General features: G+C 39.0%; 1 protein-coding gene across 56 annotated transcripts in view, besides 1 other annotated feature; it reads left to right on the plus strand.

The window, feature by feature from the left end:
• The window catches only part of NRXN3 (neurexin 3), a 1697919-nt gene that overhangs the window by 1465840 nt on the left and 218723 nt on the right, over window positions 1–13356 (plus strand). The window lies entirely within an intron of this gene.
• Window positions 2770–2939: an enhancer, noted in NCBI's record as "experimental_37460 CRE fragment used in MPRA reporter constructs". NCBI's record gives its function as "activates a minimal promoter by MPRAs in K562 erythroleukemia cells, with activity observed for both the introgressed and non-introgressed 14:80105410 variant alleles {active_cell/tissue: K562}" and the evidence as "EXISTENCE:reporter gene assay evidence [ECO:0000049][PMID:34662402]".

Genomic DNA, 13356 nt, shown 5'->3' on the forward strand with positions numbered 1-13356 from the left:
TTCAACATATCTTTTTGGAGACACAATTTAACCCATAACTCCATGTTATAACTGTACTTTTTCAGAATATCAGTACGATGGTGCCCCTAATCAACAAATATATTGTCACCAATATGCTGCAGTCTGGGAGAACATTCAGGGATTTAATTTTTCTGACACACAGACTGTGAGTTCTTTTGTTTTTTGTTTTTGTTTTTCTTTTTTTGTTTTCAGCACATCACACTCTGGCTGTCATTATCAGTTCCCCATAAACTGTGATAATTTTTGTGTCACATAGAGTGTTTAGGTTGGCCTCTGATGAAATGAAGCCCAAGTACTTGCTCTTCCAGGCACCTAACCCAGGGCAAAAACACAGAGACCTAAATGCCTTCTCTCAGATTATTTTTTTATTATATTTCCAGTGAGCAGAAACATTACAGATGTGAGACTTGTTCTAGAAATCAGAGTATTTCCCCAGGGAAGCATTATCACTGTTCAGATATTACTAAGAAGTGTAAAATGCTGGAGGGCAATTGCATCCACACCGTCCTCTGCCCATCACTGCAAAGGGAGAAAGGAGAAGGCCATGGGGGGATGCAGCAAGACCCCAAGGTCTAGGCTCCTCTGCCAAAGGAGCATGGATGACCAATTTGGAAAGAACACTTGAGAACCTCTGCTCTGTCCTCTTCACTTCACTAGTGAGAAAGCTAAAGCTCAGAAAGGATAAATGACTTGACTAAGCTACTTATTGGAAGGTGGGTGATTAGGATGTAGCATAGGGGTAAGACTGTGTAACCAGCTGACACTGCTTTAAATGATAAAGCATTGAGTTGTTCTGTTTTAATGGTACACAAGTCAAAATTGTTCAAGGATTGAGAGTGGAGCCAGAAAGCCTGGGTGTAAATCCTGGCTCCTTCACTTACAAGCTGCGTGATTTGGGGCAAATCAGGTAACCCCTTCCTACTTCTGTTTCATTGTCTGTAAAATGGATATTATAATAATGTTTACTTCATAGATTGATGTAAAGGTCAAATTCATAATATGCTAAAAGTTCTTGGAACATTGCCTTACACAGATCAAGTGTTAAAGAAGAATTGATATTATTATTATTGTTATTGTTATTATTCTTATTATCCTTGAGTTCATAATCAGGGTGTCCTGAATATACTACACCCAGGAATGGAAGCCCCACCACATTGTAAAGACACATTCACTTCCCTTAAACCTCGGCATATTTGAGGTGGTTGTAGCAATAGTGGAGGGAGAGCAGCAAGGATGGACACAAAGCTTACAGTCACCCAGCAGTGTAGGAAAGGGGGGAATCCTGCACACACTCCCAGACATGGTGGAGGTCCTCAATCACTGCAGAGAAGACTGTTGTGGGAATGACAGCAAACATGTAGCTCATCAAGAAAATCAGCTGACTTATTAGTTCTTCTGGATCTGGTTGGAGTCCCTGACCCCAGAGCTAAATTATAAAGGTTATTTTGTTGTAATTTTGATGCTCTAAGAAACTGATGTAAGATATAGAAAAGTTCTTTTTTTTTTTTTTTTTTGAGATGGAGTCTTGCTCTAGCACACAGGCTGGAATGCAGTGGTGCCATCTCAGCTCACTGCAACCTCCACCTCCTGGGTTCAAGCGATTCTCCTGCCTCAGCCTCTTGAGTATCTGGGATTACAGGTGTGCGCCACCATGCCTGGCTAATATTTTTATTTTTAGTAGAGATGGGTTTTCAACATGTTAGCCAGGCTGGTCTTGAACTCCTGACCTCAAGTGATCCACCTGCCTCGGCCTCCCAAAGTGCTGAGATTACAGGCATGAGCCACCGTGCCTGGCCTTATAAAGTTCCTCCTATATTATACGTGCCCATACCTCTATACTAGTTTTTCTCTCTTAAAGCTACATTGCCATCTCTTGTATTATCCGTGCATTTGTCACCTGCCACTTGTCCCCCATGCCCCTCCTTTCTAGCCTGTGGTTTATAACATGCTGTAAGTCTGGAAACCAAATAATCATGTTTATTAGACTTGTATGTAAATCGAACCTAATGCTCCTTTCCTTTGTTGTTGTTTTCCTTGATAATGTGGTCTTTTAAAAGAGTAAAATTTGAACTAGGATTTATGAAATCTAGGTTTAAGTTTGAGTTCTTTTTCTACTTATGTGATCTTATTCGAGTCTCCTGACTTCTTTGGATAAAGCCCAAAACACCATTTTACAGGTGAGAAAACTGACAGAGTGACGTATGAGTAGAACAGAGGAGAAAAGGAATTGAAAATTCAGGTCTGTCAAACTGTAATACCCAGGTTCTTTCTGTTTGATAACACCGTTTTCAAATGTTGAGAATGACTAAAGAAAGATATAGAAATTTGTAATGATTAGGTATTTATACATTCTCAATAATGAATTTTGGTATAAAAACATATTTTTTTATCTAACTATATTTTTCATGCAGTCATTTCAGTCAGTATCACCATCTAGGTTTCCTCTAGGGACCACATATCAATGACTCTTAAAATCACTGTTGTGCAAGGTGAGTGGGAAAGGAACAGGATGGTAGAGTTTGGATTGGGGAACAGACTTTGAGCACTGAACAGCAGGCAGCATTGCTGTTGGCAGAGTAACGGAGAAGGCGCTGAGGCTTACCCATGCCATCATGGCAAAAAATAGCACGGAAACAGCTGGTGAGCTGTCAGAATGATCTTAAGGAGGAAATGTGAAATGTTTCTGCTTGGTGCATTAATCGAGAGTTATTTGGACAGAACTGAATTGCCAGGGGAGGAACAAGCAAGGTGGTAACTCACCCTTCCCTGCCCTTTCATCTCTCTGTAATACGGTTCTATGTCATGGGCCTCCTTCACATACACACTCCCCCAGTTGTCCATTACTCCCACCCTCTCCGTCTTACCCACACCTAGAGATATGTGTGCACACATCCAAAGAGATAACAGAAAAAAAATCCATTTGAAATGCTTACAGATATTTCAAGACAAAATTTAAAGAGATATTGGACAGATTAGCAATTATGACTTTTTTAAACTTTTATTTTAGGTTCATGTGAAGTTTTGATATATAGGTAAACTCATGTCACCGGGCTTTGCTCTACAGATATTTTATCACCTGTGTATGTAAGCCTTGTACCCAATAGTTATTTTTTTCTGCTCCTCTCCTTCCTCCTACCCTCTACCCTCAAGTAGACCTCAGTGTCTGTTGTTCCTTTCTTTGTGTTGATGAGTTCTCTAGAAATCTTTGTGATTAGTTGTAGTTGAGTACTAATGTGGCTTTGTTTTTTTTTTCATGGAGTTGTTTAAATATGTGTCCTGATTAATTTTTGTTAACTGTTATACTAAGACTTTTCACCATCAATGAATTCAGTGAAGGGTTGAAGGGAAGAAGTGCAGGAAAGGAGAACACACAAATGAGAATGTCAGTCTTGACTGCTGGGTGAACTTTTTTTCGCTGTAGAAGATGAAACAAATTGAGGGCCAACCTCTTGAATCAAATTGCAAAGTAACTTTCTGCTGGGAACAGTTTGAGTAACCCGAAGTAGCTAAGGTCATAAATATTTTTACAGGTGGCTAAGGAAAGAGCATTTGCAGCCATGGAATCAGGTGTTGTTATTTTGGGTGTGACCTTGAATAGAGGCTGCTAACTTTTGGCTTCTGTTTCCGATAATAAATCTCCCTCCTCCCCACCCCCACCATCAGCCCCAAGGAAAGATGAATGACTCAGGTGCTTCAGAGACTTCCCAAGAAGTGGTTTCAGTATATGCAGCAAGTGGACATTTAGAATGGCACAGTTATCCATATAGGAATATTGTTGAGGCAGTTCATCTTGTTGTCCCTATAGTGTAATTCTTTGGAGTAGAAAGCAAAGAGCAATAATTTGTCCAATAAATGAAATAAGGAAATGAAGAGAAAATTTACATAAGCCAGGGAGGCCAACTTAATTTTCTAAAGTAGTGAATTGACTTTTTTTCCTTGGATTTTGAAATAAATGGCAATAAATCCAGTTGTGGGGTAGAGTTCTTTGCTTTCAGTGATAGCTTAGGAACATTCTGCAGATTGTTAGGATTGCTTGTATGTGGTTTTAAATGAATGAAGCTGTTTCTATACAGCTATTTTCAGAAATTCTATGATCTAAATGTTTTAGATTCAGGCAAATAAATACATATCTATATTGGGAGATAAGGTTTTTGCTCAAACAAGCAATGAGTAGTTTTCCCATTCCTAATGTCCACACTATCTTGACCACTACCAAGAAACACTTTTTGCACCATGATGTGCAAACCATGTATTTCTTATCATCTTGATGCTGTTGCTCATTTTGCTTAAGTTTTAAAGATTTGGCCTTTCTCTTTTTATGTTGATTACCAAGAGTGTCTTTGCAAAGTCCTTTATGCAGTACTCAAAGTATGTCCATGCCATTTAGCTCCTATAAAGAAAACAAGTTTTTAGCCTTCCTAGGAAATTAAGTTTCCTACAAAATATATGCTCTTCAAAAGCTCTCTCGGCTTCATTTCAAGCATGGAAAGCTTGCTGGTGACTTTTGTTCTACTTGATACGGCATATCCATTCTTGAGTGAGGCTGAGTACAAACAGCATTATCCTGATGTAAAGGAAACAAAAATAATTCTAACCACTAATTAACTAACAGCAAAGAGACTGATAGTCTTAAATGGAAAGAATACTTCCATGGTCTAGTTTCTAGAGAACACTACCAGGGGCTTGAAGGTAAGTAGCCTCTACTGGAGGCTAAGGGAAGCTAAACACTTAAGTTTTCTTCTATATTATCAGTTGCTGTTTAGAATAAATTATAATCTCCACGTTTTTTTTTGAGACAGAGTCTCGCTCTGTCTCCCAGGCTGGAGTGCAGTGGTACAATCTCGGCTCACTGTAACCTCCGCCTCCTGGGTTCAAGCGATTCTCCTGCCTCAGCCTCCTGAGTAACTGGGATTACAGGCGCACAGCACCTCGCCTGGCTAATTCTTCTGTATTTTTAGTAGAGATTGAGTTTCACCATGTTGGTCAGGCTAATCTGGAAATCCTGACCTCGTGATTTGCCCACCTCAGCCTCCCAAAGTGCTGGGATTACAGGCATGAGCCACCGCGCTCGGCCTCTTCTTTACTATAGAGTAAAAGTTGCATGGTCGTTTTCTTGCATTTGGGTCACAGCTTCAGAAGGTTATTACCAATCAGAAAAAGGTTTTGAGTCTTTTATTTCCTAAAACTGAGTGTATTCGTTATTGTCTAATGACACAGCATAACAAACCACTGAAATTCAGTGGCTTATCATACCAAATATTTACGCCCATGTTTACAGGCCTGCAGGTTGACTGAAATTTGGCTTGTCTCCGCTGGGCTCAGCATGTTGGCTCTCCTTTGGACTGCAGGTCAGCTAGGATTGGCTCCAGGCTGGGATTAGGTTCAGATATGCTCCATGCATGTTTTTTTCTGGGGCTCAAACTGAAGGGACAGTGTCTATCCAGGGCTTAGTCTTTCATGGTACATTTCTGCAGCACACAAAGGCTCCCTCCAAATGCAGCAATTCCTTCCTCAGCGGTAGTAGTCCAGACAGAAACAGTTTTGGTGGTTGCTTGAGTTCTCCCAGTTGTTCTCCTGTCATTTTGCAGGTCAATCTGCTTCATTATAGGAACATTCTACTGGAGAAAAAAGTCTATCATTATTCAAAATATCCCTCCTTATGCATACTTCCCACTGCTTAGATGTCTATACTCAGAAAAGTTACTATGTGGTTTTTCTTTATGGGACAATACTGCGTGATCGTGGCGTTCACATTTCTCCCTCCAAGTCCTTGCTTTTCTAGTTTCTGTAATCATTCCTCAGGTGACATAAAAGTATTTTCCGAAGTTTTGCCATTTTCATCACACAATATTGTGGACAAATTAAAGCCTATTGATGACTTTATTAAAGCAGGGTATTTACCACAAATTAGGATTCTCTGCATTTTGCCTGACTCCTGCAGAGCACAGAGACCATTCTTGTCTCCAATAGCAACACTCTTCTATTAATCAATCAAGAGCTGACATGAATGTTTTTATAGAGATTCTGTTCCACTTAGCGATCCTATTGAACCCCTGGCCATGTGGTATCCCCACAGCTCTTCTTCTGAAATCCCATTTTGACCAAGCCATCCAAATTATACACTTAGACTGTAATTGTTTCTTTTCCATAAATGAATTTACATTCATCTTAATTCACATTCGTTGAGATTTTTTCTCTGTTTCCAAGTCTCTTCACAGCATTTGTATTCTGTCATTCAATACATTTCCTCCAATACATCATATCACATTCATATGCAATATGAATGAACTTGTAACAATATCTCTCTTTTTTTTTAATTCAAGCCACTGATACAAATATTGACCAGGTAGGTTGTAAAGGACATGGTTCTGTGGCCAGCCCTGCAAGATCTCCTTATCTGTTTGTTTAGTACACCATGTATATAATGTGTAAGCCTGCCTCAGTTTTCTTCATGGTGGCCTCAGAGATATCACTGAAGACCTATCTGATGCTTTGCTGTGATTTTTATTCCCTGTTCACGCCATTCTCCTGATTTCCTGTATAGTAACTATATTCTCAAGAAGATGAGATTAGTTTGATGTGACTATTCTTTGTGAAGCTGTACTAGCTAATTGCATTTCCTCTTAGTTTCTAAAACCCAGAGGTCCCAAAGTCAAATGCTTTGCAGCCAGGCAAGTAACAAATGTCTGGGTCAGAAGCTGGGTATTATTCGTCATTTCATGAACAGAAATATATATCCTCTGAGTAGAAGACTCTGCCAGCAGAACAAAATTCTTCTGTTAGCTAATTTCACTAGCCATCATATGATTTAGCTTCTGAAGCAGCTTGCTGCTCTGTTATTCGTGTGAACTCATATCCTTTCTCATTTGGAAAGTCAAGACCACATGGGTACACCTCTTATCACAAGCTTCGTAGAGACCACAAAGATGCCACTTTAGTCCCAACTCACTAAATCTCCTCTACAATGTCTCTAAAAATTATCCAATAGTGTTTTTTAAAATATATATCAAATTATGCTATCTCACCACATCACAGTATAGCTGCTACTATTCCTCCTGTCTTCCTGTCTCAGAGGAAAAATTTGCTTATCACCTTCCACAGTTGAGTCTACCTAGGTCCTTGGCCTCCTGCCCTTTTATCTTTTCTGAGATCTCATGCCATCTGTTACCTCATCTCTATTTTATCTGTTATAATTCCTCTCCTCTGCTTCTTCCCCAGCTGCTCAGAACATACTGAAATATATGTAAGATTTTGGGTTTTTTTTCTGGTCATTTTGCTCAATGACTTCCTAATACCAACTGAAGAGAGTTTATATTTCTTAATACAACATTGAAAGCCTAACATGATTTGGCCTCAACCTACCTTTTTTTATCCAGTAAAATTCATTTCTCTCTAATGTATACTATATTCCATCCAAACTAACCCACTGATTAGACTTCATTTTTCTTTTAATTACTGCTTTTTGCTGTGCTGGTCCCACTGCTTAGAATGTTATTTCCTCAACCTTATTTCTGTTTCCTACATTTGTTGAAATCCTAGATGTCCTTCAGAACCCAGCCTCTGAGTCACCTCTTGCAGGAAGCCTTCCTTGCTTTCCCTAGCAGAACAACAATTTCTACTGAAACCCTGTTGAATTTTGTCTCCATTATTGCCTTTACCACCTTCTATGTTTTGACAGCTATTTTGACTATGTCTTATCTACCCAATTGTAAACTTAATGAATACCCACACTGTATCCTATTTATCTTTATATCTTTAGATTGCAACACAATTCTTTGCACATAGTGTGTGCCAAAAAATCTCTATTGATTGATGGTGCAATTCTGATATTTATTAATAATGATCAATCTAAGTATTTATCCAAATCAACCCAATGCCCTATATTTTGGGACAATTACCCTTGAGATTTTTATAAACCAAATTCACCCCATGTAAAACAGATGAAATTAACCTTAATTTTTATCTGATGTGTAATGGCTAATTGGCTAAATTTCTTTCATAAATATTACATATGTACTATTTTTTATCTCTATAAGTATTCTAGTTTGTCTAGATGAAGAAACAGAGGCTAAAAATAGTTAAACAAAAAATTACCTGTTTCAGAGCTTGAAAGCCAGATCTGTCCATGGAAATCTCCTGAGAGAAGAAGGTTTGGGGATGCATATAATGAGAGCAGAGAACTGGATAAAGAGATGTCTGGATCTATTTTTGGCTGTTGTTTAGATTTACTTTGTGACTGAAGGAAGTTTATCTGAGGCTTTCCCATTTGTAAAACTGAGATTCATATACAACTGTGCAAAATATGTGTCCCTTTACTTACCTCCCTCTAAGAGATTAATGAGATGATACTCAAGAAGCACTTTGATTTTCTCTGATGAAAGAAATGGATAAGTATGAAATGAAGCATTTACTACTTCTATCGAAGGTTTTTAAGATGGCAGCCTTTAAAAATTATCAAAGTGAAAGCTAAAGGAAGAAACAGCCGTGTACATTTTAAATCAAGTCAATAATTATTGTAGTGCACCTAATGATTCTCTGATATGTGTTTTGTGCATTAAAATTTACCAAGCACTTTTACATATATTATCTCATTTGATCCACAAAACTATCCTGTGAAGTATGTAGGCTAGGTGGTTTCATTACCATTTTTGAAATAAGAAAACTAATACTCAGGCCAAATGACTTGGTCACTGCTGCTCGACTCATGTGAAACAGTCCAGGGTTAAACTCAAGTTTCCTGGATTCCAAATCCCAATTCAGGTATCTTGCATTTCTGTCCACTTGTTAACATCATAGCATGCACATTGGACCATCTCCTCTGTGTTCACTTACATTCTATCCATGTTCAGGATTGAGTTTAAATCCCATTTCTGCTCTTAAGACTTCCCTTATCACTTTAACTGAAAGGCAGACTTTCTTATTCCATATTTTTTTTGTCCTTAAATATATTGTTTCCTGGAGGTCTTTCTAGTGAGTTGGATTTCCTGTATTCCATTCTTCCTTAAAATAAGCCTTTGGAATTCAGCCCAGCTTCCACACTTCTTGATAGCTGCCACCATCCATTTCATTCCTGGGACTGAGCCTCAGCACAAGGATTATTTAAAAGTTAAAAATAGTTGTATTCATAATCCCAGCATTTTGGGAGGCCGAGGTAGGTAGATCACCTGAGGTCAGGAGTTCGAGACCAGCCTGGCCAACATGGTGAAACCCCATCTCTACTAAAAATACAAAAATCAGCCGGGTGTGGTGGCAGACACCTGTAATCCCAGCTACTCGGGAGGCTAAGGCAGGAGAATCACTAGAATTCAGGAGGCAGGGGTTGCAGTGAGTTGAGATGCGCCACTGCACTCCAGCTTGGGTGACAGAATGAGACTCTGTCTCAAAAAAAAAAAAAAAAGTTTTTTTCGTGTCGGTATTAATGCCTGGTATAATACCTCGCACACAGAAGGTGTTCCATATATGCCTGCTAAAGAAGTGGCTAGACTAATCAACAATTATGGATGGGAGGGAAGGTTCAGAAAGTTTGGTGACAATACTGGGAAAAAATGTTGGCACCTGATAATGGTGGACCTGGGATACCAGGCTGAAGAGTTTGAAACTTGCCCTTTTGGCAACAACAGATTTATTGGCACCAAGGAATAGTTTTGCTGGATTCCACTTTTGAACTCATCAAATTCCTTGCTTTTCTTTTCCTTGTCTTTTCAATCCTACTGGGACCTCCTCCCACCAGTGCCACTTTACTGGAGGCTTGTGATATGTATGACAGGCAGTAAAACCCAAGTGAATCAAGGAAGCCTGTTAAGAGCACTGATTTCTATGATGTCTCAGTTTGTTAACTAAATTGCAGGTTGTACTGCTTGGCCAGAGACAGCTGACAGGCAACTCTGCCTGAACAAGTAGCATCTCCAAAATGACATGTGCACTTTAGTTTCATTAGAGGCAGTGGTATCATGATTGCCTGGGCCATTGCAATAAATATGGTGATCATATGTATCCCTTGGGATTTGGGGTTGACAGCATAGTTGGGCTGCACTAAAGAGTCTTACTCTGACATAAATGACGGCAAAGTAGATCTCTGGGCCCCTCAGCAAGGAGGCAGAAGTTCATGTTGCAAAGAAAGTTCCACGGGCCTACTGAAATATTACCAATCAAAATTACAATTTCATTTATTGACAAGTCATATTTAACATTCTTCTAATGTTTTTTCTCACATGCCAATGTCCAAAAAGCTAAACCATCAGCTGCATGATGCTAAGGCTTTCAGCAGTCAGCAGAAGCAGTGGTAGTTGCGAGCTGGTTATTCAGAGGCAGCTACTGTGCTCCACATAACCATAAAGTGAACATTTTGACATTCCCGAAAATGTACCAACCTCCAAGTCACAAATCCTCTGTAGATGCCTGTGGATTGGCTTTTCAGATCCTCTTAAAAGCCAATCTGTGGTGGCAGGATTGTCTGAAGAGGGTAGACTTGGGCTTCTGGTACGTTACAGAAGGCATGGTTTCTCCATCTACACTATGCTATAAGACAACTGCTCTTCTCTGAAAAGAAACTACTGGAATCACACTTCTTGTAACTTCTCTCTATTCCCTTATTTAGTTGGTGGGATTGGATGAAGGATCTTCACATGTCTAGTGAGACTCCTTTCTTCTCTTCTTCCTATCCAAAGGGCTTTTCTTCCTGGGCTGAGTGTATCCAGGCCTATTTCATCTTTGTAGGAGGCAAAGGGAAAGAGAAGAGAACTAGAAATTGGTGTAGGCAGACTGATCTGTGGCCAGGTCTAAGTGTTGCCCCAATCCGTTCTCCCATCCAACTCCACAAGCAGTAAAGTTTGCTGGTCCTTTCATCTATGTCTATTTCTCAATTGGCTTGGATTTCACAATGAAGAGGGCTATGATTTATTGGCCCACTTAAACCTCAACATGGTAGAGTGGCAATTTTGTTTTTCTGGCTCTTATATTGCAATGAATATTTTTTATTTGACAGTCTGTTATAAACGAAAATAATTTTTTTCACTATCAGTTTCTACTCAAAATTAAATGGTAGCTCTAGAATAGTGGCCTGCATTAAATTTTTCTTTATGGTTATAGCCATGCAGATAGATGCATGAACTCAGAGGACTAAAAATGTGTTTCCATGTAATTTAAATGTACCTTTCTATACGGAACGGTCTGCTGTCATGCAACTTTCAAATAATGCATTTTATTATCATTATCTTTTCCGGCATTGATTAATCCTACTGTTTATTGGCTAAGTGTACATTTCCTATTGGTATGTTTCTGAGTCAAGGTGAAAGCAGTTAATACTTAAGAGTTGAGAAGCAAGTTTATTTAAATCTAGTCTTTCTTATGAGTCTGCCTAACAGTGATAGATTTTGTTGTTGAGCCACAGTTTATGAAAAGTGCATTAAAACCTCGAGCCGACCCATCTCTCTGAAGCAGCAGTTGGGCCATTACATTTTGGCAGGCACTTCAGATGTGTGTATGATTTTATGATCAGGTCTGCTTAATTCATCCCAACTCTTCAAAGAGGAAGGGAACTAAAATTCCTTGAGCATCTTCTAGTATGTGCTAGATGCCTGCATATGTTGTTTTATCCTCATGACAATCTCTCATGGTAGATAGTATTTTTTCAGCATTGAAGGTGAGAAAATTGAGGTTCAGAGAGTTTAAATAATATTGTCAAAAACATATAGGAAGTGATGAAGTTAAGCTTTAAGGCCAGGCCTGTCTACTCAAAAGCCTGTGATTGTTATATTAAGGGTTAAAAAAACAAAAAAGTTTGCAAGAGACAGACAAGTTATTTGAACGGAATGAAGTATAAGAAAACCTGTGCTTTCCTTAATTTTTCTTGAATCCTGTGGCCTTCTCAGTCTATCCTTTATTGAGGTTCAGAGAGGTTGCTACTTATATGGTAGCAAAAGTATTTCCCTTCCCTACTTACCCTACTATACAAAACAAACAAACAAACAAACAAACAAAAAACAGAAAACTTGATGATAAATGTCAATCAACACTCAGCCTCTGCATCTGATGAGCAACAGAAATTAGCGGGGACTGTGGTGAATTGGAAAACCTGTGCCTTTCTCTCCCAATCAGCTCTGGCTGATTGTCCTACAGAAAATGTTGGCTCTGTGTTACTAAATCTTACCATTTTTTAAAAGAACAGTCTAGCTGTTCACGAGAGATCTGATCTTAAAATGTTGAAAACTAATTCACATAGAAAAATACTATGTAGTACCCACCCCTCAAAAATAAAACTTATGTGAGCACTCGATCCAGCATAAAGTCTCTGAATTTGTAAGTTCTGTATTACACAAGGCAGCTAATAAGTAACTACTGGGAAAAATAATTAACAAACAAAAATCAAATCAAAATAATTTTCATTACTCTTCCAATAATTGTGCCTTCCAGATTTAGTACTGTTTGTGTATTGTGCCTCTCTGTGGTAGAGGCATGACTTCTGGTCCTCTATCTGCCCTTCACAGAGTGGAGATGAGGCCAGTATGCAATGACTACTCAAGTTTTAGATGTTCTGAGCACTTGTTTCTGTGCTTTCTCTGGATAGATCTGGTAGTTTGGTGAGCAGAGTTGGCGTGGCTCATCAGCAGTCACCCTTTGGCAATGGAACCAGAAAAGCATCATGCTGTCTGTTAAAGAATGTGTCTATGCTTGTAGCTAGTTTCCTAAGATGTTTGCCTCTAGGTATTTGCCTGCAGAAAGTTTTTTGAAGTCAATACAAAGTAGAGTGGCAAGCGATGCATCCATGTTTGAGGATTTGGGAAGCATTTTTCTGTATTCTTTCAAGTAAGGCCTGGTCGATAAGTTTAGCCACACTCAATCTAATTCCTTGTCTGTATCCTTATTATCTCCCCTCCTCTTCTTTAAGTTTTCACTTCCTTCTGACCTTAATCACTCCCTCAATGAACCCATAAGTATCACTGAACATGGGTGTCACCAGTTAGCAACAGTAAGATAACCGCTAACTTCTGAAACATGGAAGCTCTAGCATTGCTTGGATGATGTCTTCCCTGACTGCCTGTGAGCCTCTGGCCAGGATCCGGGGTAAGTGCCTCACAAATCACTGTTCATCTAAACAGCTAAAGCTCTTCTCCTGATGGAAGAGGGATACCTACAGCAGAAAGCAAGGGAGTCCACCAGGCACGTTTGGAAAATAAAAGATTTTATTTATATTTATTTTGACTCTATAGTTTCTAAATTCCATAAATGAAATTTTGCCATTATCAAGGAAATATTTGCTAGGGAGTATAAGGAAGGCCCTTTGGGTAAGAGAGAAGATATTCTCTAAGCTGTAGCATGTTTATGAACCTTAAAAAT

Source organism: Homo sapiens, chromosome 14 (genome assembly GCF_000001405.40).
Source record: "Homo sapiens chromosome 14, GRCh38.p14 Primary Assembly".
Classification (NCBI taxonomy): Eukaryota; Metazoa; Chordata; class Mammalia; order Primates; family Hominidae; genus Homo; species Homo sapiens.